General features: G+C 56.3%; 1 protein-coding gene and 1 long non-coding RNA gene across 4 annotated transcripts in view, besides 9 other annotated features; both read left to right on the top strand.

Annotated features, from left to right (window-relative positions):
- The window catches only part of STX16-NPEPL1 (STX16-NPEPL1 readthrough (NMD candidate)), a 64592-nt gene extending 37878 nt beyond the window's left edge, over positions 1–26714 (top strand). The window contains exons 9-23 of the long non-coding RNA NR_037945.1: positions 1904–2097; positions 2275–2432; positions 2594–2650; positions 4607–4792; positions 5292–5462; positions 9554–9643; positions 10067–10148; positions 11886–12028; positions 16368–16439; positions 17993–18070; positions 23349–23449; positions 24290–24413; positions 24787–24963; positions 25430–25540; positions 26038–26714. This is a non-coding gene — a long non-coding RNA (STX16-NPEPL1 readthrough (NMD candidate)). The remainder of the gene's footprint in view (positions 1–1903; positions 2098–2274; positions 2433–2593; positions 2651–4606; positions 4793–5291; positions 5463–9553; positions 9644–10066; positions 10149–11885; positions 12029–16367; positions 16440–17992; positions 18071–23348; positions 23450–24289; positions 24414–24786; positions 24964–25429; positions 25541–26037) is intronic.
- Positions 1–26714, top strand: NPEPL1 (aminopeptidase like 1). Of its 3 annotated transcripts, none has more exons than NM_001204872.2 (13): positions 1–81; positions 2594–2700; positions 4607–4792; positions 5292–5462; positions 9554–9643; positions 10067–10148; positions 11886–12028; positions 17993–18070; positions 23349–23449; positions 24290–24413; positions 24787–24963; positions 25430–25540; positions 26038–26714. In NM_001204872.2, the coding sequence occupies exons 2-13, from the start codon at positions 2635–2637 to the stop codon at positions 26194–26196; spliced, it is 1488 nt and encodes a 495-aa protein (NP_001191801.1). In that variant the 5' UTR covers positions 1–81; positions 2594–2634; the 3' UTR covers positions 26197–26714. The 3 variants fall into 3 exon arrangements, with proteins under 3 accessions (NP_001191801.1, NP_001191802.1, NP_078939.3); NM_001204873.2 differs by having other exon boundaries at positions 2594–2650; NM_024663.4 differs by lacking the exons at positions 1–81; positions 2594–2700 and adding an exon at positions 3670–3920.
- Positions 3103–3808: an enhancer, noted in NCBI's record as "H3K27ac-H3K4me1 hESC enhancer chr20:57267289-57267994 (GRCh37/hg19 assembly coordinates)". NCBI's record gives its function as "activates a minimal SCP1, AML or CMV promoter by ChIP-STARR-seq in primed H9 embryonic stem cells {active_cell/tissue: H9 hESC(primed)}" and the evidence as "EXISTENCE:reporter gene assay evidence [ECO:0000049][PMID:30033119]".
- Positions 3306–3795: a silencer, noted in NCBI's record as "silent region_13076". NCBI's record gives its function as "represses an Ori minimal core promoter by ATAC-STARR-seq in GM12878 lymphoblastoid cells {active_cell/tissue: GM12878}" and the evidence as "EXISTENCE:reporter gene assay evidence [ECO:0000049][PMID:35858748]".
- Positions 3806–3965: a silencer, noted in NCBI's record as "silent region_13077". NCBI's record gives its function as "represses an Ori minimal core promoter by ATAC-STARR-seq in GM12878 lymphoblastoid cells {active_cell/tissue: GM12878}" and the evidence as "EXISTENCE:reporter gene assay evidence [ECO:0000049][PMID:35858748]".
- Positions 3996–4075: a silencer, noted in NCBI's record as "silent region_13078". NCBI's record gives its function as "represses an Ori minimal core promoter by ATAC-STARR-seq in GM12878 lymphoblastoid cells {active_cell/tissue: GM12878}" and the evidence as "EXISTENCE:reporter gene assay evidence [ECO:0000049][PMID:35858748]".
- Positions 4096–4185: a silencer, noted in NCBI's record as "silent region_13079". NCBI's record gives its function as "represses an Ori minimal core promoter by ATAC-STARR-seq in GM12878 lymphoblastoid cells {active_cell/tissue: GM12878}" and the evidence as "EXISTENCE:reporter gene assay evidence [ECO:0000049][PMID:35858748]".
- Positions 5249–5856: an enhancer, noted in NCBI's record as "H3K4me1 hESC enhancer chr20:57269435-57270042 (GRCh37/hg19 assembly coordinates)". NCBI's record gives its function as "activates a minimal SCP1, AML or CMV promoter by ChIP-STARR-seq in naive H9 embryonic stem cells {active_cell/tissue: H9 hESC(naive)}" and the evidence as "EXISTENCE:reporter gene assay evidence [ECO:0000049][PMID:30033119]".
- Positions 12371–12903: an enhancer, noted in NCBI's record as "H3K27ac-H3K4me1 hESC enhancer chr20:57276557-57277089 (GRCh37/hg19 assembly coordinates)". NCBI's record gives its function as "activates a minimal SCP1, AML or CMV promoter by ChIP-STARR-seq in naive H9 embryonic stem cells {active_cell/tissue: H9 hESC(naive)}" and the evidence as "EXISTENCE:reporter gene assay evidence [ECO:0000049][PMID:30033119]".
- Positions 12904–13435: an enhancer, noted in NCBI's record as "H3K27ac-H3K4me1 hESC enhancer chr20:57277090-57277621 (GRCh37/hg19 assembly coordinates)". NCBI's record gives its function as "activates a minimal SCP1, AML or CMV promoter by ChIP-STARR-seq in naive H9 embryonic stem cells {active_cell/tissue: H9 hESC(naive)}" and the evidence as "EXISTENCE:reporter gene assay evidence [ECO:0000049][PMID:30033119]".
- Positions 26049–26856: an enhancer, noted in NCBI's record as "H3K4me1 hESC enhancer chr20:57290235-57291042 (GRCh37/hg19 assembly coordinates)". NCBI's record gives its function as "activates a minimal SCP1, AML or CMV promoter by ChIP-STARR-seq in primed H9 embryonic stem cells {active_cell/tissue: H9 hESC(primed)}" and the evidence as "EXISTENCE:reporter gene assay evidence [ECO:0000049][PMID:30033119]".

Genomic DNA, 26856 nt, shown 5'->3' on the forward strand with positions numbered 1-26856 from the left:
CTTCCTTGCTTCCACTTCAGGCCTGCCTGAGGCACTTCCACTGGTCTCCAGTTACTTGCAAGGTCAAGTACAACCTGCAAGGTCAGTATATATTTTATGCGCACTTTATATCTGGCACAGGAGCTTTTCTTTTTCTTTCTTTTTTTTTTGTAGAGACAGAGTCTCTGTCCTGCAGATTGGAGTGCAGTGGCGTGATCTCGGCTCACTGCAACTTCCGCTTCCCAGGTTCAAGTGATTCTCATGCCTCAGCCTCCCGAGTAGCTGGGATTACAGGCATGCACCACCATGCCCAGCTTATTTTTGTAGTTTTAGTAGAGATGGGTTTTCACCATGTTGGCCAGGCTGGTCTCAAACTCCTGGCCTCAAGTGATCCACCTGCCTCAGCCTCCCAAAGTGTTGGGATTACAGGCCTGAGCCACGGGGCCTGGTTCCACATGAGCTTTTGACAGTGCCAGAATGAACCATGTCCTTTACTACTTCAGGCCTTTGCATGAACAATTCCTTGGTCAGGGATCAGACTGCCTGACACACTTTAACCGATCCCTCCAGGCCCAACTCAAAAGTCTCATCGTAGTCCAAGGGGCCTTCCCTAACTCAATCTTCTCCCAGTGACTGGATCTCTGGATTTTACTGTTCTACTTGCTTCCCCTTCCTCCTCCTGGCCACACACACATATGCGTGCACATGCACAAACACACACACACACACACACGCTATTGCGTCCCCAAAGCCTCACGGGTCCTGTAGCTTTTCAGAACTGATGTTCAACAAATGTATGTCAAATGAATGAATGAATGAAAATGCTAGAAAATACGAAGCAGATGCACCGAGGAAATGTTTCTTTGAAGTATCGGATATAATGGAATCTGAGAGCCTCGTGGCAATCAGCTGAGTCTAAGCAGGCATTAGGTTTTATAGGGGTGAAGTCTGACATGAAATTAACATATAAATGTAGATTTCAAACACCTAGAGCCATCTTACAAGATAGGATTTCAGAAATGTGTCCTAGAATGTGAACTGTACCAAAAAACATCCTAGTAAGTTCTAGGAGCTTTATTCTGATTTGTCCCAGAAGTTTTTAATCTTTTCTTCAACTTTGGAGCAAAGTCTGAACATCCAATTGAATGTGGAATAGGTTTCAAGCCATCAAAAACATAAGTTGATTTTTGGGTTGCATTAAAGATCTGGTAATTTGTTTTAAACTTTCATTTTTTAAGGAAAATTAAATAGAGTTGAATTTTTCATTGACAGTGAAATATATAGTAAGCCATGGATTAATACCTTCATAAAAATTTATCTAAACAAAGTGCTGCCTGTCTTATTTATGTTAAAGTCTGTAAAGTCAGCAGTGAAAAAGGGAAAGTACTTTCCTGGAATGTATTTGTATCTGTCACAAGCTGAATCTTGAGGAAATTGGCAGGCATTTGAAGTGGAATAATTCCTTAGCGTTCTGTTTAGTTTGGATTTCTTCAATTCGGGGGTGGCTTAAAACCAGAATCACCAATATTTGCTTTTAACAAGCATCTAACGTTTTCTCTTGCTTTGTGTACACTAAGTGCTCAACAAATGTTGGTTGAATTGAATCATTTTGTTCATCCTTTCTGGGGACTGTCAGGGTTATTCAGTCTATTCTTAAATATGAAAGAATTCTAAAAGAAAAACATCTCCAAAATGACCTCTCCACCAACAGTTTATCTCATTTCCAACTCCTTGTACACAAACCTGCTAGATCTGGCTTTCTGAAATGCTTCTTGGATCCCTCTTCAGTTTGCAAAATTCTATAGAGTGAGCCAGGCTCCCCAGTCGATCTCCTCACCCACTCCTATTTTCCAGGAACCTTCTGTTCTAACCACACAGGTTTCAGAGCCTGCTGGACATATTCTGCGTCTGTGTTTCCTCCCAGGACTTCTCCCACGTGGAAGGCCTTCTTTCTCAATCTCTTCGCCTGTGGAAGTCCTATTACATCTGTCAGGGCATGGCCTTAGTCTCTCACCCTCTAGGAAGATCCTCCAGCTGTCTCAGTCCTCTGGAGTGCCGTGTGCCTGTCTGCAACGTATTTGCAAACAGAAAAAAGAGTGAGAGATCTTCATACACACTGTTAGTACCCTTTACCAATGTGTGAAAACATTCAGCTGCTGTAAAATCTTTTGAAGAAAATAAGATCCAATTAGCGTTGACTTTTATGTCGGGAAAGCTGAGGGTTTCAAAGGAATGCCTTTCAGTCATTCAACAGCTTTTTTTTTTTTTTTTTTTTTTTTTTTTTTTTTTTTTGAGTGCCTGCTCTGTGCCAGGAACTGGAGGAAAAAAAAACAACAAAAAGTCAAAAAGACCTGCCTTCAGGATGCTGAAGCTCTAGTCTGTGGTGTTTCCAAGGGGCCAGGGACCATGGCTCAGAGCTGAGCAGACAGACCTGGAGCCTGTGGACAGGGAAGGTGAAAGCCTGGCTTGTGGCTCCCGGGGCTACAAGTTAGGGAGCTAGGGGGCCAGCTGGGAGGTCAGTGGTGGAAAACCTCTCACACCACGCCAGGGAGTTGACAGTGCTTTTTTTTCTTTTTTTCTTTTCTTTTTTTTTTTTTTTTTTTTTCATTTTTAGGCTGGTTATGAAGAAGAAACTCAAAATAACAGGAGTGGCTTATGGAACTACATGGAGGTAACAGAGGAGGGTACCAACCAAAGGCCCTTGAGCAATCAGGATGTTGGGTAACAGATTTTTGCTTTTAAATGACTCCTGGGTGGAGCTTCCCCAATGCATCGTCATTCCCTGACCCTTGCATCTGACCCTGTGGGTGGGACCCTCCGCCTCCACCATCCACTCAAGGCTCACCCCTGGCTCCTCCACCACCCGGCTCCTGCCCCACACCCCCGATGGCCTTTCCTCCCCTGTAAGGCGACTGAGGTGACTCAGGTCACCCTGCTCCTTCCTCGTCTCATCTCGTCCCTCCTTTCCTGCTTAGACTGTGCCAGATGACCCTTCTTGCAAAGGGGTGGGCGGGAAGGCCCCCCATGCAGCCAGGCAGTGCCTGGATTTGTAACTGGCCATCCCAGCAGCAGTGCCCTGGATGGAAAGCCACGTCCCTGTCACCCTCTCACATCCAGGGCAGTGCCTGGCAGAGCGGGGTCTGATAAACGCCAGGGAACCTCCGATTAAGTGAGGAGGAAGTGACCGTCCACGCTGTACCCACCATGCCAGGCAGTGGGACAAAAGGACCTGACTCAGGTCCAAGAGTCACTGGGCCCCTCCGGCCTAACTGATGGGTGGCCAGGGTGCGGGGTCCCTGGGGATCAAAAGCAGCTGCTAAGGGACCTCGGGGGACCTGCTTGGGGCCAGCCTGAGGCCTGACCGGGCGGAACTGCGTCGGGTGGGCTTGGGCCTACGTCGGCCCAGGCCCCACTGGAGGCCAGGCCCGTCCGGGAGGCGCTGCCTGGCGGGCCACGTCGCCCCGCGTGTTGGGCAGGGCCGCTAGGCCCAGGGGCGGCGCCGCTGGAGGCCGGGCGCGCGGGCCCTACTCGGCAGGGCCTGCTCGGGGCCGGCTTCGGGCCTGCCCGGCCGGGCCTGCCCGCACCCTTCCGCCCGGCCTGGCCGGCGCCCCCTCGCGCCCCGGGCGGGCCCTGCACGTCTCGCGAGCAGCCCGGAGCGGCGGGGGAGGCGGGGCCCGCGGGCTGCCGGGCAGGGCCGGGGCGGTGCCGAGGCCGGGCCGGAGCGGGGCGAAGGGGGCCGAGCGGCGGGCCGGGCCGGGCCGGGCAGGGCCGGGGCGTGGGCCGGCAGGAAGATGGCGAACGTGGGGCTGCAGTTCCAGGCGAGCGCGGGGGACTCGGACCCACAGAGCCGGCCCCTGCTGCTGCTCGGGCAGCTGCACCACCTGCACCGCGTGCCCTGGAGCCACGTCCGCGGGAAGCTGCAGCCCCGGGTCACCGAGGAGGTGAGCGGGCCGCCGGCCGCCATGCGACCCGCGCCGCGGAAGCCCAGGCCCGGGCGGCCCGCGGAGGCCCCGCCTCGCCCGCCGCACCCCCGCCGCCGCCGGGCCGGGCCCAACGAGGCCGGGCCGCCTCCCTGAAGGGCTCAGCCGCCAGGCCAGTCCTCGCCCGCGGAGGCCCAGCCCCAGGCCCCGTCGCCGGTGCGGCGCGGTGGTCCTCCTGTCAGCCCAGCCCTGCGCCCCGCGAGGCCGCGACACCTGCGGACGGCGGGGGGGGAGACGTGGCCGCTCCCAGGGCCGCGCGTCGGCCCCGCCTGGCGACAGGCCCTGGCTTCCAGAAGTTCCCATGGCAGTGTCCCCAGCTGCCTTTCCTTGGGGACACCTGGCCCCTGCCCCCTCTCTGGTGGAAGCCGCCTAAGCCCTATCCGAGTGTTGGAAGCAAAGCAGCCCCCAGCCTGGCCCTTCCAGGCTTGGTGGCTTCATCCCACCAGGGGGATGCGAGCCAGCCTAGAGACAGTTAGCTCTGCAGAGAGGCGACACATCTCCCTAAGGATGGGAAAACGGTGGCCGGGAGCTGCGCAGTGCCCTTCCAGGACTGCAGGAGTGGTTGTGGCCGTGGCTGCAGGGCAGGGCCTCCTGGCACGTGGCCGCTGTTTGAAGCCTCTGTGTCTTGTCTCTCCCTTCTGATCTAGCTCTGGCAGGCTGCCCTGAGCACGCTCAACCCCAACCCCACGGACAGCTGTCCCCTCTACCTGAACTACGCCACCGTGGCTGCCCTGCCCTGCAGGGTGAGCCGGCACAACAGCCCCTCGGCCGCCCACTTCATCACGCGGCTGGTGCGGACCTGCCTGCCGCCCGGAGCGCATCGCTGCATTGTGGTGAGTGCTTCGAGAGGAGGCAGCCACGGTGCTCCTAGTCGGGCAGCGGTGAGCTCGGGCCTGGGGAGCTCACAGCCCTGCTCAGACTGCAGCGCACGCCCAGAGGGCTGTGGACGTTATCATCCCTGCTCTGTAGACAGGGAAACAGGTCCAGAGAGACGCGGGGATTTGCCCCAGATCAGTTTTGGTGGCAAATCAGAGACTCAAACCTAGATTTCCTGAGGCCCACTTTGTGTCTGTCCCTCTGTCCCTCATTTTCATGGCTGGTCAGGCTGTTGACATCTGGTGGCCAATGTGTTATTTCTCTTGGAGCATGACCAATGGTGGTCCCATGGTTCCGGGGATGACCTGAGGGATGGGGTGGCGGCTGCTGTGGGACATCTCTGTCTAGATGTCACCTGCCAGGGAGCTGATGTTCCGGAGGCGTTCAAAGAGCAGCTCCCTGCACTCCCTGGTGGCGGCCCTTGCACCCCTCACGCCGTCTCCCTATGTGCCACAGATGGTCTGCGAGCAGCCGGAGGTCTTTGCTTCCGCCTGTGCCCTGGCCCGGGCCTTCCCGCTGTTCACCCACCGCTCAGGTGCCTCTCGGCGCTTGGAGAAGAAGACGGTCACCGTGGAGTTTTTCCTGGTGGGACAAGACAACGGGCCGGTGGAGGTGTCCACATTGCAGGTGGGTGTCTGGAAGGGCAGACACTGCCCCTGGGCCCGGGCAAGATCGGGCAGGTGGGAGGGAGGTCGGGAGAGGGAAAAGCTTGTTGCGGGGGCAGGAGGGGGTTCCTGCCCTTCCCAGGAGCTTTGGTTCCTGGGAAGCGGCAGAGGCTTTTCCAAACCCAGGCCCCCTGCCTCTGCCTCAGCGTGGTCTGTGACTTCAGGATTCTGTTGTATACAGGCAGTGTTTGTTGAGCACGTAATCAGTGCCAGGAACGTCCATGCTGTTTTCCAAATAACCCTGCCCGTTTATGTGAGCTCCGTGTGCACGTGTGTGATGTATGCACGTGTGTGTGTATGTGCGTGCACATGTGTGTTGCTGTGCGTGTATGAGTGTATGTGCATGTGTTGTATGTGTGGGGGGTGTGTGTGTGCATGTGTGATGTGTGTGTGTGTGTGGTATGTGTTGCTGTGTATGTTTGCTGGTGTGTGCATGAGTGGTGTGTGTGGTGTACGTGTGGTATGTGTTGCTGTGTGTGTGTGTTTGCTGGTGTGTGCATGAGTGGTGTGTGTGTGTGGTGTGCATGTGTGGTGTGTGCATGTGTGGTGTGTGTTGTTGTGTGTGAGTACTGGTGTGTGCATGAGCAGCATGTGTTGCTGTGTGTATGAGTGCTGGTGTGTGCATGAGTGGTGTGTGTGTGTGTTGTGTGTGTTGCTGTGTGTGTATGAGTGCTAGTGTGTGCATGAGTGGTGTGTGTGTGGTGTGTGTGCATGTGTGTTGCTGCACCCTTTACAGGGAGCACTTCTACATGTGTTATTTCACTCAATGCTGAGAATGATCCTTTTGAGGCTGCAAGGCCGGAAGTGATTTCCCAGCTCCAGATCCTTGGATGGGCCTGACATCAGGCTCCTGTCCCCACGGCAGCGGTCCCAGCCTCTGCGCCTGCCACCTCCAGTCCCCGAGCCCACAGCGCCACCCAGGTTGTCTTTTCTCATGTGTCAGCGCTCATTCTTCACTTCTGGCTCTGGAAGGCTGTCGCCTTCACCCAGGCAAGCTCTCCCACATCAGCACTTGGGCCACACCTCATTTCTTTCACTGTGTGCTCTCTGAGGCCTGTAACCACTGCCCCTCAACCCAAATTCTTCCATCTTCACCAGCATGAGATAGCTCCCCTTTTTTCCCTTCGTCTCTGAGCTTTTAAAAAAGTCTAACTGGTTTGCCTTGCTTAATCCTCTTTTCCCTCTTAACCCATGGAGACAGAGTTTTTGCCCCCATCCTGACATTGTTTTCTAAGGACTGCTGGATGGGGTGTTGCCGTCCCTCCTTGAAGTGCATCTGCCCCATCCAGAGGTCTCCCTCCCTCCCGCTGCTCCCCAGACTGCTGCCACCTCTCGGCATCCCCTTCATGGCCTCTCCAGCGTTCCGACCTGCTCAGCCCTCTCCGGGTCAGACACCAGCATCTGCCTCTTCTCTCTGTCTTTAGGGATTTTCTTCTGACTTCCAGGCCTGCCATCCAGGTGGGCACGGGTGCCCGCAGAGCCCACCGGGGGCTCAAGCATCACCCTTATTTCCGAGGACAGCAGGGCACCCTGACCTCTGCTGCCCTCAGTCCCTTCCCCTCCTGTGGACTTCCTGCTGTCCCTTAGACTGGCCACGCCCACTCCTGCTCTTGCTCCTCTGCAGGGGTCCTTCCCTCTCCAGCCCAGCATGGTCTCCATCCAGCCTCTGCCCACATTCCCTCCCCAGGGAGGCCTGGCCCTCTTGGCTAGCACCACCCTCCCATTTGTCAGCTAAACCATCACTACTAGACATGTCACATCTTTGTTGATCTCCTGTGCTCCTCACTGGGTTGGGAGTCCCCAGAGGGCAGGGACCTGGTCTTGTGCACAGTGATCCCAGCACCCGACCCCACACATGAAAAAGGCCCAGTAAACATCTGGTGATGGAACCAGTGGGGGCAGTCAGTCCCCATGGCCCCCGACCCCATTGGTCCCAACTAGCTAGTGTGTCCTGTTTCTTGTCTTTGCTCTGCCCAGTGCCGTGCCTTGAGGTGCTCTCCTGGGCTGTGGCAGCAGTCTCCTGGTCACCCTGCCACAGATGGCCTCCTTCCAGCTCCTGCGTCACTCGCCTTCCAAAGGCACATCTGGGTGTGTGCAAGGTGGCATCTTCTGAGTGCTGTCAGCTGTCAGGCCCTGCGCTGAGGCAGGAGTGTGCACACAGCACGTGCTGGTGCACTGAATTCTCACTACAGCCCTGTGAGATACATCCTGTTGTCCCCACGACATTGAGTGGCTCACCGGGGCCACGGCAGCAAGGGGCAGAGCCAGGTGTTAAGCTGCAGCTGCCACCACTCAGCCCTCTTGGGTCCTGAGCACACCATCATCTGACACCCACGTGGCCTGTACTCAGCTTCTCCCTTTTCTTCCCTGCGGGAACCTTCCAGTCCCCACCCAGGACCCTGTCCCCTCTGCATCCTGTGGCCTCATCCTCTTCTGTAGCAGGGACTGGGACTGTGTACTGTGAGTCTCTGCTGAGCTTGACTCCCTTGGACGTCTCTGAATTCTCAGAGTCTTGCACGATGCCTGGCACATGTGGACAGAATGAGTGGTCCTCCTCTCATGGTAAGGGACACCCTTCCCCAGTGCAGCATGGCTGTGTGTTGGTGGAGGGCACCCGCAGCCCTGCCCTCCCTCCCACAGGAGCGCTCTTGCGTCAGAGCCCCGAGCTCGCCGTGGTCTGGGGTCTTCCAGGTGACACCTGGCCTCCTTGGAGGCAAGTCACACAGCATTGACGCACTTCTCAGACAGTCCTTGTCGAGTCCCCACATGCCCTCACAGACAGAGAACCCGCTGACAGGCGGCAGGGACGGCTCAGGCACATTCATATCAGAGCTGTCAAGGTCCAGGTTTCTACCTTTGAGGCTTTGGGGTTTAATTACCTCGGCAGGGCGGGGGAGGTGGCCAGGCTGCAGTATCGACCCGGCGCCTGCTGCCCTGACATTATGAGACTAGAGGCAGGGATGATAAACTTGCTGCTGTCCTGCACCCCCGCAAAACAGCGCTGCTCTTCTCTTAATATTGTCTTTCTGGTGAGCAAGGGAGGCCGTGCAAGCAGCCAGCTGTCTGAAGCTTCTGTGCCTGGGGATGCACAGTGGGGAACAGGGTGGGGAAGGGGTGCCCGCAGATTCAGCTGAGAGAGAGTGAAGCTCCCAGGGCAGATGTGAGACACACATGAGAAGGCAAAGAATGGCCCAAGCCAGGGCTGAAGGACACATTTTTGGGACCCACGTGATGTGTGCTTTGGTGCATGTGCCCCTCTCTGCCCTGCCTTCGAGTGTGGGCTCTGAAGCCCTGCCAGGCCAGCAGGGCCCATGTTTTCAGTTCCTGGGTGGACACGTCAGTTCCATGAGGCGAGACCTCCCTCTGTGTCCTTCCCCTCCGTGCCCAGAACCGTGCTGTGTCAAGTGACAGCACTAGGGCAGCCAGACCCCCATCTGTCTTGCAGGGTTTATGAGGGACTTGCGTGGGACTCATGAGGAAAGCAACGGCCCAGAGGGAAGGCGTCTGGGAGGGCCAGCAGGTTCAAGCACTCAGGATGTAGAGTGCTTCTGCTTGGTGGGGAGGATCTGGAAAAGCTACTGGTAGATACGGCCTATGAGAAGTGCCTCGAAGGATGACTGGGATCTTGGTGGGAGGGAAAGGACTGTGGGATCTGCAGAGGTGAGGCGTGGGAAGCTCAGGGCATACTCAGGGGCTGGCATGAGGGCCACCTACCTTCAGTTGTAGCTGGAATCAGGGGAGAAACAGGACACAGGGCTTGGAAAAGATCCAGATACAGAAGGGCAGGACCCCAGGCTGGGGACTCCTGTATATTTGTGGAGGCGCAGGGTGGTGGCTGTGCTGAAGGTTCTTTCTACAGGTGGCCGGTGGCCCTGGGTTGCTGGGGGTGGGGCAGGCAGCGAGAGCCATGGTCCCCCTCTCCCCTCTCTTTGCTGCCCTGTCAGTAGCCCTGTGGGTGATGTTTGCCTCTGCTGCCTTTTGTTCCTGGGGGATGGACAAGGGGAGAACATCTGCCTCCCACCTGGTCCCCAGTGATGGCCTTTTTCTCCCTAGTGCTTAGCGAATGCCACAGACGGCGTGCGGCTAGCAGCCCGCATCGTGGACACACCCTGCAATGAGATGAACACCGACACCTTCCTCGAGGTTTGTGGCGTCATCAGGCCGGGGGTGGGACCAGGCTGGGGTGGGTGTCATAGACTCCCAGGAGAGCCAGAGGAAACCTGGGGCTGTCCACACCCTGACGTGGCCAGGGAACCTCAGGGCTGCCCTCGGCGGAGCGCTGCTGTCTGCCGGGCTCCAGGAAGCCTCAGGAAAGGGTGTGTGGGGAGGACAGAGCCTCCTCTTCAAGGCCCCTTGGCAGGACCACAGCCAGAGCTACAGGAAATGAGAGTGTGTGGAGGGTGAGCCCCCTCTTCTGGGTTTCATCACACGCGAAGCTGGCTCCCAAGCCCGGCTCCCCGACGCGGCACAGGCAGCGGTTCATCCCTGGCCCCAGCCTCGGCCTCTCCTGTTTCCAGCCATCTTCATGTGTTGTTGTGCTGTTGTTTTTTCCATGAACATGTCCAGGAGATTAACAAAGTTGGAAAGGAGCTGGGGATCATCCCAACCATCATCCGGGATGAGGAACTGAAGACGAGAGGATTTGGAGGTGGGTGGGGGCTGCATCCCTGCAGCTCTTGGCCTCGGGCAGTGGCCAGGGGCACTTGGGTGGCAGGGGGTCGGCGGGCCACATGGCACATTGTCCCAAACTTCATCCTGCTTGTGACCTGAAAGGAATCAGCCTGTGTCCAAGCCCAGTGCCGGACCCTGGGAAGCAGCCGTCCCTGGGGGAGAAGGGGAGGCAATCCAGATTCTGATTTGGATTCTGGAAGCTGCTAGATCCAAGTCCTTCCCTGCCTGCAGCCTCTCCAGCGTCCTCGCGTGCTGCACACCCTTACTCCTGGGACTGGCTCAGCAGGGCCTTTCTGTTCCTTGAATACACAAGTTCCCATCACGGCAGGCAGGGCCTGTGTGCGGATGGCTCTCCCTATCTGGAATACTTTCCCCCAAGATATATTTTTGGTGGAGGCCATCTCAACCAATGCCCCCTCCTCAGAGAGGCCTTCCCCAAGTCCCCAGACCCACCTTTCCCCACTGCCCAGGAACCAGAGGGGCAGATAAGTATGACTCAGCTGCCCCGTGGTGCTTGTAGACTGGCAAGAGGAAGGCGGCTGTCTGTGTTATGTGTGGCTACAAAACAAATCACTCGGAAGATAGCAGCTGAATGCAGCAACACTTATCCCCTCCCCGTGCTGTGGGTTGGGGATCTTCCCCTGGTGCAGCGTCTCTGCCTGCTGTTGTCAGGTTGTTGGCTGGGGCTGCAGTCATCTGAGGGCTTGCCTGGGGCTGGCGATGTGCTTCCGGGCAGGCTCACAACAGGCTGCTGGCAGGTCTCAGGGCCTCACAGGCCATTAGCTGGAGGCAGCAGGTCCTTGCTGTTTGAGCCACCCTCCGAGCAAGGTCTCTGAGCGAGAGATAGGGATAAAGAGCGAGCAAACAAGATGGAAACTCCCATCTTTTTCTGTGACCTAATCCCAGGAGTGATATCTCATCACTTCTACCTTTTTCTTTTGGTTAGAGGTGAGACATCAGGACCTGCTCACATGAGGGGGAGGGACTGCACAAGGACATGAATACCCAGACGTGGGGGCCACAGGGGCCATCCTGGTGGTGTCTACCTAGACAGGAGCCATTTACAAGTGGAGGGAGAGGCCGCTTGTGTCAGGAAAAGCTTCACAGAGGAGGTGGCATTTGCTGTGGATCTTACAGGATGAGTTGGAGTTTGTCAGGCAGCCATGATTAGCTCTCGTCATTGTTGCTATGATTGTTTGACTCAATTATTGCAGGACTTTGAGCCATAGACTCTGCACACGCACAGGCCACAGCTTTCTTGAGAAGATGTGTCATGTAAACCAAAGAGGCAGTGGTGCAGGGACTGTGGGAGCGAGTGTGAAAGGGCGGTGCAGTCCCTGAGTGCTCAAAGGATTCAGGAAGTGGGGACGAGCATGGGCTGGGGCAGCCTTGAGGTGTTATCCAAACATCGTTTCATTCTGCAATCCTGTTCTTTTCTTTCTGGAAAGGATACAATATTTTTTTCCCTTAGTGGGTTTTCTTGCTTAACAAACAACACTTTGCATAGAATTTGTTTGCAATCTCAGACATTGGAGCTAATTTGCATTCCCCAATCCCACACTGGCCAGGGGCAGGAGAAGGGGCAGGGAGCACCAGGCTCAGGCAGGCGGCTCTCCAGGAGAAACACCAGCCGGCCAGAGTTTCCAGGGGCCTCTGGGAGTTCCCCGCTCAGCTCAGCCCGAGCCTAACCCAGTTCTCCCCACGCTTTCCATAGGAATCTATGGGGTTGGCAAAGCCGCCCTGCATCCCCCAGCCCTGGCCGTCCTCAGCCACACCCCAGATGGAGCCACGCAGACCATCGCCTGGGTGGGCAAAGGCATCGTCTATGACACTGGAGGCCTCAGCATCAAAGGGAAGGTGAGGTGCGGGCTGGCTCTCAGGGTGCCCTGGGGGAGGGGAGGGGAAGGTGAGGTGCAGGGCCCGGCTCTCCCGGGTGCCCTGGGGGTGGGGTGGGGTGGGGTGGGGAGGGGAAGGTGAGGTGTGGGCCCGGCTCTCCAGGGTGCCCTGGGGTTGGGGTGGGGTGGGGTGGGGAGGGGAAGGTGAGGTGCCGGCAGGCTCTCCAGGGTGCCCTGGGGGGGGGGGAGGGGCCCAGTTTGGGTCCAGCCAGCCCTCTGAGAGGTGTCATGGGGTGGGGGGCGGCGAGGTTTCTGGGGGTTCTGGGTTGGGGTGGGTTCGGGGAGAGTGCGCAGGGCGGGTTCCCATGTGCTGAGGCGACAGCTTCACGTGGCTCCCTGGGTTTCATGCCCACCCTTCAGAAGGGTCTGGAAACAAAAGCCTGGCCAGGGCCCAAGAGCAGCCCCGGAAATGACGGAAGAAATGGCAAGCAGGGCCAGGGAGGCAGGGCTTGCTGCTTGGGGGCTTTGTCCCGAGAAGAGAAGGGCAAGGGGACGCCTGTGTCTCTGAGTCTGCCCATGGTCCCCACTGAGAAAACGCTCAGAGTGGCCACACAAGACCCTCCAAAGGCACGTGACCCCCAAGAGCGAGGGGAATCTGGGCACGGCACAGAAGCGAGTCACCCGGGAACATCCCGGTGCGGTGGCCCTAGAAGCCTGTCCCGTGGTACGGCTTTCTGTCCTGCCATCCCAGGAGGACAGGTGCTTGTGGAGCCCCCGTCGTGGCCGAGTCTGCCCGCCCCAGCAAGCCCTGCCCTCCTCCGCACCATCTCCATCCATTCATCCTACACACCGTGTGAGCAGCCTCTGTGCTCAGGCCTGGGCTGGGAAGGACAGGGAGGGAGCAGACTGGGAAGTACATACCTCAGGAGGTCTGGAAGGAGCAGGGAGTGCATCCGCAGCAGACACTGCAAACTAGCAGCCTGCAAGGCTCACGGAGGCCTGGCATTTTTAAAATTTGAATTAGCTACCAATATTTGAAACCAGGAAGGATTCTCATCAAAGCCTGGATTTCCGGCCTTTTGTGCACTCAGAAGGTCTGCCAGTGCTGGCGTTCTGTTCCCGCCTGGCAGCATTCCCCTGCAGCCAGTGGGCCTGCCCCTGGTGTCACCCATTCTCCAGTTTGGTTTGCGGTAGGCCCCACCACTTGCTGCTGCCTTCCTGACACTGAGCCCTAGTGTCAGCTGCTGTTCAGGGTGGCGCTGGTGCAGCTCGCCGCGCTCTCTAGCACGCCTAGTTTATTTCATACCTGGAGAGGATGAGCAGTTCCCATCCCTCCTCTAAACCACAAAACTGTTTAGAACTAAGCAGAAAATGACACTAATCATAAAAAGGGTTTTTTGTTTTTTTTTAATAGAAAAAACATGCCTCCCTATGGGTCTCTTGGGGTAATAGATGGTGGAATGAATGTTTGTTTCTGGCTTTGGGTCTTAGCATCTACACGTTTGACAATGGTTTCATTTAAATTGATCTTCTTTACTAATGTATGTTCAGTAGGCAGAGTTGCCAGCTGTCTTCACTCATAGTTGGTCCAAGAATACTATCTGTTAACTTTGATTTTGAAGAGCTCCAATCTCGTGAGGCAACAGATACACAGATACTTAGGAAAAGTCTTTAATACGGTATCATTTGGCAGAGATTCTTAAAAATCCCATTTCACAGTAAATTCCAGCAATCACAACACCCACTGTGTGTTCAGTTCTTCAGGGTGGATTCTTGTGGCTTTCAGATGTCTGCAGAACAAAAGCATTTTGGACACAGTAACTCCAAGTGTTCACATGGAATGAGGGAAGTGAAGGAACGCAGGTTCCGCGTCTTCGTTTTGACCATCCCGCACTCTCGTGTTTTATTTTGGGTCCTCTGTTTCGACACCGGGAGGTAGGAAATCATGGGCCCTGGAGGCCCCGACTGTGCCCAGAGCCAGCCCACAGGATCTGACTGTCAGAGCGATTCTCAGAAGGAATGTGGGTAGTAGATTTTGTGTCGGGTCATTGCTAACGTCCATGTAATGTTACTTTCAGGATAAGTAACAACGATATGCGAATTTGAAGCTTTTGTTTGTGTGATTAAAACGCAACCGTAGCCACAGCAATTTTTTAAACTTCAATCAACAACAGATTTTCGGAGGAGGAATATGTTATTGCTGACTTTGTTCAGAGATACCGGCACACGGTGGTAATAAGCAAACTGACTTCTAGTCGGTTATGATTCCTAAATTCGCCACAGATAGTGCACCCCCTACTGCCTGCACCTGGTACTGGCTGCTCCCACCCTCGCACGCACCCTCAATACCCACGGTCACCCTGGAAGCCGCTACATTCTGGCTGGTAGAGTCGTGGACCCTCTTCTCCTTGGATCAGATGCTTGTTTTTGATGTCGGCTTGTTGTGGACCAATGTGAGAAGATGAGCTTCCTGGGAATTCATTCGTTTGCTTGTGGCACTAACTCTAGTCACTTAGGGAAAATATCGTTGCACCTGACTTCATCTCATGTGGCTGTGGGTAGACCTGTGCAGTTAGTCAGCTCCCGGCCTGGAAATTAACACAAAGGAAAAACCTGACCACACAGGCCTTCCCTAGAGGCCACAGCTGCACAGCCTTCAGGGAAGCTGTGGTCTGAGGGTGGCTGGTAGAACTGCCAGAGAGTAGGGCATTTTCCATGGCTCCAGATCACCTTCTGAAAATGCGACTATAGCCCCTGCCTATTCCCGGGGTCCACCTGGTCTGCAGACCCCATAATACCAGGAAGAGCTGGGTGTTCTGGCACCAGTGAAACAATACCTGGTTTTTTATTTTAAACCAGCCCATCTTCCCCGCTGCAGTTGGAACCGTTCTACGTGGATTTGGGATCAACCAGCAGGCCTTTCCTGAGCTGTTACTGTGTGGAGTGGGCGCTGAGGCTCCAGCCATTGATGCAAAGACCCCAATCCTGACCTGAAGGCGCTCACAATCTCTCCCCAACGGCCTGGTGTGAAACGCAGACGCAACGCAGCAGGCATTCTCCCCAGTGGCTGCCTGTAGAGCAAATGGTGCAGAAATGGTCACTCCTCAAAAAGCAAGCCGGCTGGAGCCAGCCCAGCTCCCAGTTTTGCAAGAAAAAAAAAATCACAGCTCCATTTTCAAAGATTTCAAGGGCAGCTCAAGACCAGCCTGGACTAGCAGGCCTCAAATGCATTACTGGAGACCCCTTTACGCTCTTAACAAGTACCGACCCCAAAGAGGCTTTTTGTATAACAATGTCTATTGATATTTACTCTACTGGAAATTAAAAGTGAGAAATTTATAACATGTATAATTCATTAAAAATAACATATAAATCCATTGCATGTTATCATAAATAATTTTATGAAGATAAGCATCTTCCAAAATGAAAAAATAATTTACTGAGAGAGTAGCATTGTTGTACATTTTCACAAATCCTGTCAGTGTCTGGCTTAATAGAAGACAGCTAGGGACCTTGCGTCTGCTTCCGATGTAGTCTATGGAAATGTGTTGTTTCAGTTGAACTGTATCAAGAAAATCTGGCCTCACGCATTTTATAGTTGAAACAGGGAAAAGGATTTTAGTACCTTTTTCAGCTAACTAACTATGAACATTCTTTGCTACTACACCAAAACTCAACAAGTGGTAGCTTCTTAAAGGCTGGTTATAACATGGAATCTGAAGCCTCATGAATAGACTTTTGGGCTCTGTGGCAGTTAAATCCGCTGTTCTCTCTCACTTTGAACATGTGGTTTTTCATGGAAAAATGAATGTTCACTTGAAAAATGTTGGTTCACAGAGTTCTGCAGAAATTCAAATTTTTGACACATTACATTATATAGTATCAAAAAATCACTTAATATCACCATCCATCTCATCAGAAAACTCATTATGAGGAAGTTGTCATGGTGATAGGAGAAAGTTTTTCAAAATTCTGATTTTTGCTTAAAAGCTCAAATGTATACCATTGGCAATAAATAATGTCAGCTGTTTCTGGAAGTAAGAGGCTCAGTTTGTTCCTTTTCTGGGAAATATCTGCCAGATACCTAAATCCAATTAAATGCCATTTGTCTGTCAGTTTTTCTTTCAAGTAAAGATGGTGTCGTGGCCAGAGTGGCTCATGGAGCTCAGAACTCCCCCAGCAATCACAGCTGAGCTTCTGCTCTGACCGACCACTGCCCGTCAGCAACAGCAGGAGTACATTATGAGTCACACGGAATATGGAAAATGTATTGTACCCAAGGGTTGAGAGTTTTAAAAATTAATTTTACTGCTTCAGCAAGGAAATTCTAACGTGAAATTGGCATTGGTTCATTTTCCCAGAGGGCACGGAAACGAATACAGTGGCTCCCGGACCTCTTTGGGACTGTGGCCTGATACTCCAGCACAGGGGGTGTAAGTGTCAGCCCCGTGAAAAAGGCAGAGACCGTCTTAAATCACTGCGAAAATGGTTTCTTCTATAAAAACAGAAACAACATATGGGGGCTGGTGAAACTTTGCACAATCAATCAGTTGAGCTGTATTTGCAAGCCCAGTCCTGGCTCCACCTGCAATTGGGAAGGAGCTGGCAGCTGTGACGGGGGAGACATGGTGTACAGTGAGCAGCCGTTTCCAGGCATTGCTGTGTGACCCATTTTGCACATGGTTTGATTCCAGATCGGAGGCCCTGTTTTTCCATTTAAACAATCCTGTGCTTTCTCAAACAGATTAGCTCAGAAGAGATGGCTTATTTTCAGTAGTACAAGATGGGTCATTTTCACTCAATTATAAAAGCAGCTCAATTTACATCTAAAAATACTTTGCACTAAAATTCAAAGCTTGTGTAATAAGATAAGGGTTCAAAAATGATTCAGTAAATTTCATACCCAAACCTTTACCTCTGAGGACCTGCTGTTAATTTAAAATATGAACTTGTGAATTTGATTTGGGAACCTGTAAAATGTAAAAATGTGTAACACTGTCAACCAGCGTATAGGAAACAGTGTGGACACTGCAGGAGAAGGGTGGCCCCTCTTTAGACCCAGGTTAACCAGGAGGTGTGAACTATTAACCAGGAGGTGTGAACTAGCAGGAGGGCAGAGGTGGCCCCTTCTTCTGGCGATAGACCTGGCAGTGACATGAAGGAGCGACAGGTGTCCTCACTGCTGGTGGTGTCAGTGGGGGTGGATGTGACTGATTTTGGCGAAGAGTTCACATCAACCCTCACCATCATTCAAGGTTGTGATGAGGGGCAGAGAATGCTGAGCCTAAGTCTCGTTAGGTGGTAAAGCCCTCTAAGTGCCAGGGAGAGGAAGCTAGGCCCTGTTCTGGGGGGCGACAGGTGGCCAGGGCAGGTTTGCATTGCGGCAGCAGCCCCTCAGGCTTCCTCCCTGCCATAAGCACACTAGGAATCTGCAATGGGTGCAGGAAGCACGCAAGCCCACCCAGGTCCCTGAGGTGCTGGCCAGGGACCTCCAGCAAGCCCCAGAGGCTCCCTGGACCTCAGCTTCCTTCTCACGCTGTGCGGAGGAGTGGAGAGAGTGGCCCTGCAGACAGACCCCCAGGCGGCGTGGCAGCCCGGGACTGAGGTCAGGGTGCCCGGCGTCAAAGCACGGGGTCCCTGTTTCAATGTCAGAGCCCGGCCACAGCGAATTCTGCAGCTCCGGGCATCTCCTCGGGTTCCCCCTCCGTGCAGTTACTGTTTGATAACCCCAAAGTTCTGTCAAAACAAAAGGGAGCCTCACCATCTATGGCCATGACTCCCTGTTGCTTCTGGAGAACACCCCACTTGGCCAATATGAGGTTCATGAGTTCTGTGGGTGCCCAGGAGGCCTGGTGTGGGGGCTGCCCAGGCCTGAGAGCTGGGGAAGGTGGGGCTAGCGTGGGGCCGGGTGGGGGTGGGGGGCTTCCGCTGCCAGGCCTGGACCTCACAGCTCACCTTTGTCCTGGTCCCTTTGTACCACCCGCAGACTACCATGCCGGGGATGAAGCGAGACTGCGGGGGTGCTGCGGCCGTCCTGGGGGCCTTCAGAGCCGCAATCAAGCAGGTGAGTGGGCCCTGCCCGCCCTCTGCAGGGGCATCCTGGGTGTGCCTCGTGGGTGCTCCCCTCTCCCCTGTCCGTCCCGCCACAGGCCCCACCAGGGTCCTACCCGAGTCTCCCCAGCGGATGCTTGTCCCCCCTCTGCCCCCAGGCTCTTCTGGGGCCCCCAGAGCTTCCCGCCTTCATCAGAGCTGCTCTGGGAGGCCCCGAGGGCAAGGTGCAGCCATGTTCTCTGCTCAGGGCCTGCCTTGGCTCCAGAGCCCCATGAGCGGTTGGCTCAATGAGGAAGCCTGGCCTAGACCCTCATGGCATGTGGCAGGCAGAAGCTCATGGCAGGGGCACACGTTGTTCTGCGTACCCCTCCCGCAACCCTTCTTTGCAGCAGAGCTGCCTCTGGTGACTGGTCTCACCAAGTCACCACCTCCAACCCCCAGGCCTGGCCAGGCCCCCTTCCTCTCTTGCGTGGGCAGGTGCCCCAATGCTTAGCCCTTGCTCAGTGGCAGTAGTCACTCGGGGGGCGTGGGGGGGGTGGGGGGTGACCTTGAGTGACCTTCCCATGGAGCCCAGATGTCCCTGGGGCCATAAAAAGTGCTTATTAAACAAATGAAGAGGCCAGCTCATGCTGGTAATCCCAGAACTTTGGGAGGCGGAGGCAGGAGGATGGCTTGAAAGCCAGAAATTCAAGACTACCCATAGCAACCTTGCAAGACCCCGTTTCTATAAAAAAAAATTTAAAAACTAGCCAGGCGTGGTGGCGCGCACCTGTAGTCTCAGCTACTTGGGAGGCTGAGGTGGCGGAGGATCGATTGAGCCCGGGAGGTTGAGGCTGCAGTGAGCTAAGATCCCACTGCTGCACTGCAGCCTGGGAGATAGAGCGAGACCCTGTCTAAAGAAACAGGCCAATGAGGAGTGTGCATTGACTCATCAGCCGAGGTTTTACCTTCCTAGCCTACCTTTCTCAGGCCAGCAACCCAGTTCCTTGGGGTAAACTTGAAATGGAAAAACAAAAAGGCCTTGGCAAGTAGTTTCCAATCTGGAGGGTCCTGCTCCTGGCCGTGAGGGAGGAGGAGGAATCCCAGGAGGAAGGAGCTCCTTCTGCCGGGGCTTCCCAGCTGGCCGTGCACATTCCAGACTGTGTGACGGGCTTCTGCTACCAGGCCCAGCCGGTGGGGACACGGAGGTGCGGGGCTGAGGCGGCCTGGGCAGGAGGGGCTGGCAGGCCCTCACCTGTGCTCTGCACGGGTTTGGAAACGGCCTCTTAGGGCTCACGGCTGTTTCTCTCGTGCTGAGCACACAGCTGGGGCTGTACGCAGCCTGCAAGCCCCATGCCTCCATGAGCACCTGCCGTGGCCCGTCCACTGCAGAGCCTGTCGGAAGAGGCTGGAGGAGGAGCATGTGTCCTCTGTGCGCTACTCCTTCACTGGTTATAAACTACCAAGGGACACGGCTGGCACTCAAGGAGGGTCTTGACTGCCCCAGCATCATAGGCCACGGGGCAGGGTGGCTCTGGGCTCCCACTACCTGGCCCTCCTCCTTGCCTCTGCCCAGGCCCCGTGGCTTTGGCAGATGGGCTCACCAGAAGAATGCTGAGGCGGACGGGCCCAGCTGTGCGGTGCTCGCTGGGCAGCTCTCTCTGAAGGGAGCAGTTGCTGCTCTGGGGTGGCACGGGGGCAGGGGTGGGCAAGTGGTTCTGGAGGAGCCGTGTGGCCAGCCCTCTGTGGCCGTCTTTGCCGTTCACCCCTGGTTACTCCTCCAACAGAGGGTCTGTCCTGCCTCTGGGACAGGCTGGCTGGGAATGCCCCAGCAGGAAGACTCTTCTGAGCTTGAATTCCCTGTTCACAGGAAGCCACTTGACAAATGATCACAGATTCATCAGGCAGCAGCCGTGAGTGTTCTCAGCACTCCTCCACCTCTAGAGGTGCTGCGGCCTCTAGAGGTGGAGGAGCACCTCTAGATTTGAGGGGTGCTGAGGACACCCCACCCCCACTCTGGACAAAGATCCCCCTCCCACAAGAGCTCCAGCCTGGAGGCTCCACTGTGAACGCGAATGTCCTGCTTGGCCTTCACATATCCTTGTTGGCCTCTTAGAAAGGAATACGCCTCTGTCTGAGCCACAGAATCAATCCTCAGGGTAATGCATTTACCCAGAGAATAAAATCAGCATCCACGTGTCCACACTGGTAGGAATAGATCACTGAAGGAATAAATGAATGGGGGAGAACCGTTTCTCACACTGAATCCCAGTTTCAGGCTGCAGAGGTAGTGATGGAAACAGGAAGTCGTCACCCCACAGCCAGGCTTCATTCCAGGTGAGAGTGGCCCACAGTGCTGGAACTGGAGCATGAGAGTGGGATGGGAAGAGGACAGTCAAATGCTCTCAGAGTGCCTCTCGCAGCTTTATAGTGGTGACACTCACAACCCAGCCTAACCAGGTGTCCCAGGGCATGTCACCAGGGCAGGGACAGAGCCACCTGACATGCCTCCAGAGGCAGTGTACAGGGAAGGACAGAGCATTTCTGCAGGATTCCCACCAAAAATGCATGGCCTGCCTGTAGTCACAAGGACACGTCAGACAAACCCAGCACTGAAAGTGCCAAGGCCACAAAAGACAAAGCCAGACTATGCAGTCGCCCAGATTAAGGAGGGCAAGCAGGCCAGGCTTGATGTGTGGTCTGATCTGATCTGGACGTCTGAGGAGCACATGGAATCTGGATGGTCCCGAGAGGTGATGGTCCTGTGTTGGTGATTACTACCCCCTGCTGCCCATTGTCCCATGGCTGGACAAGATGCTGACATTGGCAGAATCTGGGTGAAGGGTGTTGAGGAATTGTTTGTGGCTTTTTTTTTTTTTTTTTTTTCCCCGAGATGGTGTCTTGCTCTGTTGCCCAGGCTGGTGTGCAGTGGTGCGATCTCGGCTCACTGCAACGCCTCCCAGGTTTAAGTGATTCTCCTGCCTCAGCCTCCAGAGTAGCTGAGATTACAGGCATGTGCCACCACCCTTGGCTAATTTTTGTATTTTTAGTAGAGACAGGGTTTCACCTTGTTGGCCAGGCTGGTCTTGAACTCCTGACCTCAAGTGATCCGCCCACCTCAGCCTCCCAAAGTGCTGGGATTCTGGCATGGGCCACTGCTCCTGGCTGTTTGTGACTATTTCTGCAATTTTTTTGTAAGTTTGAAATTATTTCACAGTGAAATGTTTTGAACTTTTTAGAAAGAGGATGTACCATTCAAAGATGGAAGGGTACGCCAGGAGCTCGGTGGCCCTGGGCTCTGGGGGTGTTAGCGACCCTCCAAGCCTGGCACCAAAAAAAAAAGCCCCTGACCCACTTACCAACCCAAAACCCTTGGCCGCCCTGGGGGACCAGGCCCAAGCCCTGGCGTAGCACTGGAGACCCTTCCCACGCTGTCGCTGAAGCACTCACAGTCCAGCCCCATCTTTGGCCACCCTCTTCTGTTAGACCAGCAAGTCCCAACTGTGCCAGGTAACACCCAGGAAGTGTGTGAACATTGACAGCTCCAGGGCTCACCTCCAGCTCTGCTGAGTCTTGGATTTTTTCAGCCGCTCCTGGTGATTGGAGAACACCTCCAGACTGGCCGTGAGGGCCGCAAGGGCAGGGCCGTGCCTGTGCTGTCTCTGTCTCACGTCTTCCAGCCGTGCAGACCTCAGCACTGTTTGCCCCAGGACTGCAGCTCGCTCGTCTTCTAAGCCAGCACTTCTCAAGTGGGGTCCCCATGTTGTTAGTAATATGGGTTCTCAGCTCTGCCCCAGACCTGCTGGATCAGAAATTAGGGGCAGGGCCCAGCCTTCAGCGGGTAGCAGCCCTCCCTGGGAGGCTGAAAGCATCCATTTGGGAATCCTCCTCCTCCCCGCTCCTCCCTCCTCCCCCCCCGCCTCCTCTCCTCCTCCTCCTCCCCCCCTCCTCCCCCTCTCCTCCTCCTCCCCACGCCCCAGCAGGCTACAGATCCAGAACTCTGCTTTCTAGGAGGACTTCAGGGCTCCCCTCCTTTGTTGGTGGAGCTCATCTCTGTGGCGTCCATGGCCTGGAGCCCCATGGCCTCATCCTGTGACCTCAGGGTCATGCTGTCATTTATTCGTTGTTCCTAAACACCCACTTCTCCCTGGAATGACCACAGGAGGCCTCAGCACAGGGACAGGCCGTGGTCACTGTACACACAGATGGAATGTCAGTGCTGGGGTATCTGGGGAGGAGCTCTGAGAGGAGGAGGCTGAGGGTCCTGAAGCCCCTGCCCCGTGTCCCTGACACAGGCTGGGCTGCGAGAGTGGGAGCGGGGGACTTGGGGCCCTTGTGGAGCTGACAGGTGGCTCCGATATCATCACCCTGAGGCTGGTGGGGTTCTTTCCCCTGTGCTGCGTGGGGGTGCGGGGCCATCTGTGAGGCTCAAGGACTGAGCGGGGACCCAGGGAGGTCTCAGGGACTCGCAGCTGCCATGCCCAGCACCACTGCTGCAGCTCCTGCCACTGGCCACTCCTTGCCCTGCTGGCTGCCCCTGCCCCACCATCCCAAGTGTTTGCCTTTGGTGAGGGCTCTGCACCCGTGGTGGAAGAGTCGGCTGTTCCAGGAGATGAGAAAGACGCTGGATCCTATAGAGCTGTGTGTCCGCGCTCTCGAGGCATGCTCCATGCTAGGAGGATGTATTCTGGTTAAAGATTCGTCTGCGGGAGCAGAGGAAGGGCAGGGACAGGGGTCTGGGAGCTCTACTCCATTTGACATTGCTGCCCGGGTGTGGCCCGCTTCGGGGTCAGGGGGCACCCTTAGAACCTGTGCAGGGCAGGAACTGCCACCATCTGTTGGCCACACATTTCTCAGTGAACAAATGACTTTTGGCATCAGAAAGCCATAACTTCACACCTAAACTTCCACGAGGCTGAGCTCTTCCTGCCCCTCTGTGTGTGTACGTGTGTGTGTGTGTGTATTGAGGGGACGCGGCTGCTGGCCACCTTCTGTCGGCACAGGTTGGCGAGGCTTCATGACTGCCCAGCCCATGCAGTCCAAGAGTCCCACAGCCCAGCCCATGCCCAGGCTCATCCACTGCGGCGGGTGGCCTCTGCCAGGGGAGGCTAGGAAACCCCAGTGGTGAGCCTTGGCCTTGGGATCTGCCAGGACTGTACCCGGGATGGCAGGGAGGGCGAGCTTTGGTCCCTGCAACTTGGAGCCATCTCTCTCTCTCCTGCTGTCTGTGGGTCTGAGAACCCCCAGCTCGTCCTCCCCCCTCCCCAAACCTATGACCTACAACTGGAGCCTCTGCCCACTTCTCCCTCCAGGGTTTCAAAGACAACCTCCACGCTGTGTTCTGCTTGGCTGAGAACTCGGTGGGGCCCAATGCGACAAGGCCAGATGACATCCACCTGCTGTACTCAGGGAAGTACGTCTGGCCCTCCCACTCCTTCCTGCCCACTGTTGGAACTCGCGACCCTTCCCGGCCTGCAATGCCAGCTCACTCCAGGCATATCGGGAGGGCACTCAGCGTTGGGGTCCCCTGGGCAGCAGGCTCCTTGCTTCCCGGAGGGCTGGGGAGCTTTGGTAGCAGGCGCACCTCACGTTGAGGGGCCCATGGCACCTGGATGAGGTGCTAGGCTCCCGTGCAGTGCCTGGCCCAGGAGCTCGTGGTCTACCCTGCATTACCAGGACAGGTCTTTCCAAAATTTAGGCCTGAAATCTTTGGGTGTGTGAAGCTCTGACCCCCAGATTCCCTGCTCGGGGACACCTCCTGCATCTCCCCCTTGAGATTGACCCTGGAAAGTCAAAGCTGAGCTGGCAGCTGAGGAGCAAGTGGCTCCAGAATTCAAAAGAGAAGAGCCCTCTCCCCAGCCCCATGAGCTGGTGCCTGAGTGGGCGCCTCCCCGCATCTCCTGCTCTTCCTCCCCATCTGCCGGGTGCCAGGCACAGTGTGCTGAAGGCCAGCCCAGCCGGTTCATGCCACCCACTTTACAGAAGAAGAAACTGAGGCATGGGAGAGCCAAATGGCTGGTCTCTGGCTCTCCAGAGCAGCGGGGCAGGGATGTCACCTGGAAGCCCTTTGCTCCAGGCACTGCATTGCTGTAGGGACTGGGGGCATCCCGGCCTTCCCATTCAGGGAACGTGTTGGGGTTCGGGGAGCCACAGGGATGGGCAGCTCCAAATGGGGTCTCCCCAGTTTCAAAGGGGCTCATGCCAGTGTCCCAGGAAATCCCGTCCCTGAGCGGGGATCTCTACCATGCCCCAGGACGGTGGAAATCAACAACACGGATGCCGAGGGCAGGCTGGTGCTGGCAGATGGCGTGTCCTATGCTTGCAAGGACCTGGGGGCCGACATCATCCTGGACATGGCCACCCTGACCGGGGCTCAGGTGAGTGCTCCCTGGATCCACCCCTTAGCTGTAGTCCCAGGGAACCCCACCCCACTCTTGACCTCAAGGTGGGGAAGGCAGCGCGTGGGGGCTGCCGTCAGGAAGTTTTCATAACTGGGCACGAGGAGGCAGGAGGAGCTGCCCGTCAAGCTTGGTGTGGGCAGTACCGAGGCCCAGGCTGGATGCAGAGCCGGGAACCGCCTCCTGTGTGCTTCATGGCCATGGTCCTTTCTGCCTGTGTTTTTTCTTTTTTTCTCAACCGTCTCTTTTCTGGCTCCCTTATTTCTCTGTCTGCCTCCCGGTCCCTCTTTTGCCTTGGGTGTTTCTCTCCTGCCGTCCCGTCCACACGCTTCCCGGGTTCCTGCCCGCCCAGGGCATTGCCACAGGGAAGTACCACGCCGCGGTGCTCACCAACAGCGCTGAGTGGGAGGCCGCCTGTGTGAAGGCGGGCAGGAAGTGTGGGGACCTGGTGCACCCGCTGGTCTACTGCCCCGAGCTGCACTTCAGCGAGTTCACCTCAGCTGTGGCGGACATGAAGAACTCAGTGGCGGTAGGTTTGGAGCCTCGAACCTGGAGCCTGCCACATGGGTGGAGCCGGGCAGGCGGAGCCCTGCCTTCAGGGTGCTGGTGCACCCAGGGAGCTGGGGCCCCCCAGAAGCAGCCACAGTGCAGACGAGGGCTTGAGAGGCAGGCGTCAGGGCACAGGAGTCATCCCAGACAGCGTGGGCCACTCACTGGCTTCCCTGCCACACAGCCAAGGGTTTCTCCCCCAGTCTTGGGTCTGGCTCAGTTGCCCCATCAGGCCCTTTGCTGGCTTCCCCCTTGGCCTATGGTGGGGGCAGACTCCTTAGCTCATGGTCAAGGCCCTCCCAGCCCAGCTTCTGCTGCCTCCCCACACGCTCCCTCCCAGCCACCCCGAGCTCCTTGCAGACAGCAATAGTGACAGGCGATGGGGCAGGGTGGAGAGGGCCCGGCCGGAGCAACCCACAGGCACTGTGTCCTCCTGGCCTCCCTAGGACCGAGACAACAGCCCCAGCTCCTGTGCTGGCCTCTTCATCGCCTCACACATCGGCTTCGACTGGCCCGGAGTCTGGGTCCACCTGGACATTGCTGCACCGGTGCATGCTGTGAGTGTCTCCCCTCCCCACTGGCCCTGGCTGCTCCCGCCCGCTTGTCCAAACAGCGCCCCTCTGGCTCTGGAGCTGCTGGCAGAGCTCATCAGAAACTTCTGTCTGTGACCCAGCTTCCAGCCCGCTGTCCCCACCACCCCCAGGTCTCATCCTCCCTGGGAACAGAGTGGCTGCTGTGTGCGACCCTTCCCCAGCCAGCCTGTCCTCCATAGGGGATCCTGGGCCCTGTCTCACCCATCCCCACCCTGAGGAGCTCCCGGGGTGAAGGCAGAGCACACAGGGCCTTGCCCCCTGCCTACGCCTGGCCTGCCAGCCCTGAACGTGTCCAGCCAGCAGCATGGAAGGCTCTGGGCTCCGGCTGGTGCTCAGGATCTCCTTCCTGAGAAGGGGACTGTGGGGCACGTGGAGGGGACCCAGGAGGTGAGGGGTCCCCAGGAACCCCTCCTGTGCTGCAGCCCCACGCCCAGAGTCTGTGTCCTGCCCTTTGCTTGCAGGGTGAGCGAGCCACAGGCTTCGGTGTGGCCCTCCTGCTGGCGCTCTTCGGCCGTGCCTCTGAGGACCCTCTGCTGAACCTGGTGTCCCCACTGGGCTGTGAGGTGGATGTCGAGGAGGGGGACCTGGGGAGGGACTCCAAGAGACGCAGGCTTGTGTGAGCCTCCTGCCTCGGCCCTGACAAACGGGGATCTTTTACCTCACTTTGCACTGATTAATTTTAAGCAATTGAAAGATTGCCCTTCATATGGGTTTTGGTTTGTCTTTCTGGTCGTCAGCGTGGTGGTGGAAACAGCTGAAGTTTTAGGAGACAGCTTAGGGTTTGGTGCGGGCCACGGGGAGGGGACCGGGAAGCGCTGGGGCTTGTTTCTGTTTGTTACTTACAGGACTGAGACATCTTCTGTAAACTGCTACCCCTGGGGCCTTCTGCACCCCGGGGTGAGGCCTCCTGCCTGCCTGGTGCCCTGTCCCAGCCCCAGGTCCTGTGCAGGGCACCTGCGTGGCTGACAGCCAGGCTCTTACTCCAGCCGGGGCTGCCAGCGCATCCAGCCAGCCCAGCCCTGTGAAAGATGGAGCTGACTTGCTGCAGGGGACCTGATTTATAGGGCAAGAGAAGTCACACTCCGGCCTCTCAGAATTCACTTGAGGTTCAATTAAATACAGTCACACCGCCCCCTCACCTGGCCTCGTTCTTCTTTCTCCCCCTCCATTTTAGAAACGGGTCCTGGAGCCCATCTAGGGAATGTAGTGCAGGGCTGCCTCCTGCTTCTCCCAGACCGGCTCTGGCTTTGAGCCCCAGCTGGTCAACCCAGTGTTGATGA

Source organism: Homo sapiens, chromosome 20 (assembly GCF_000001405.40).
Source record: "Homo sapiens chromosome 20, GRCh38.p14 Primary Assembly".
Lineage (NCBI taxonomy): Eukaryota > Metazoa > Chordata > Mammalia > Primates > Hominidae > Homo > Homo sapiens.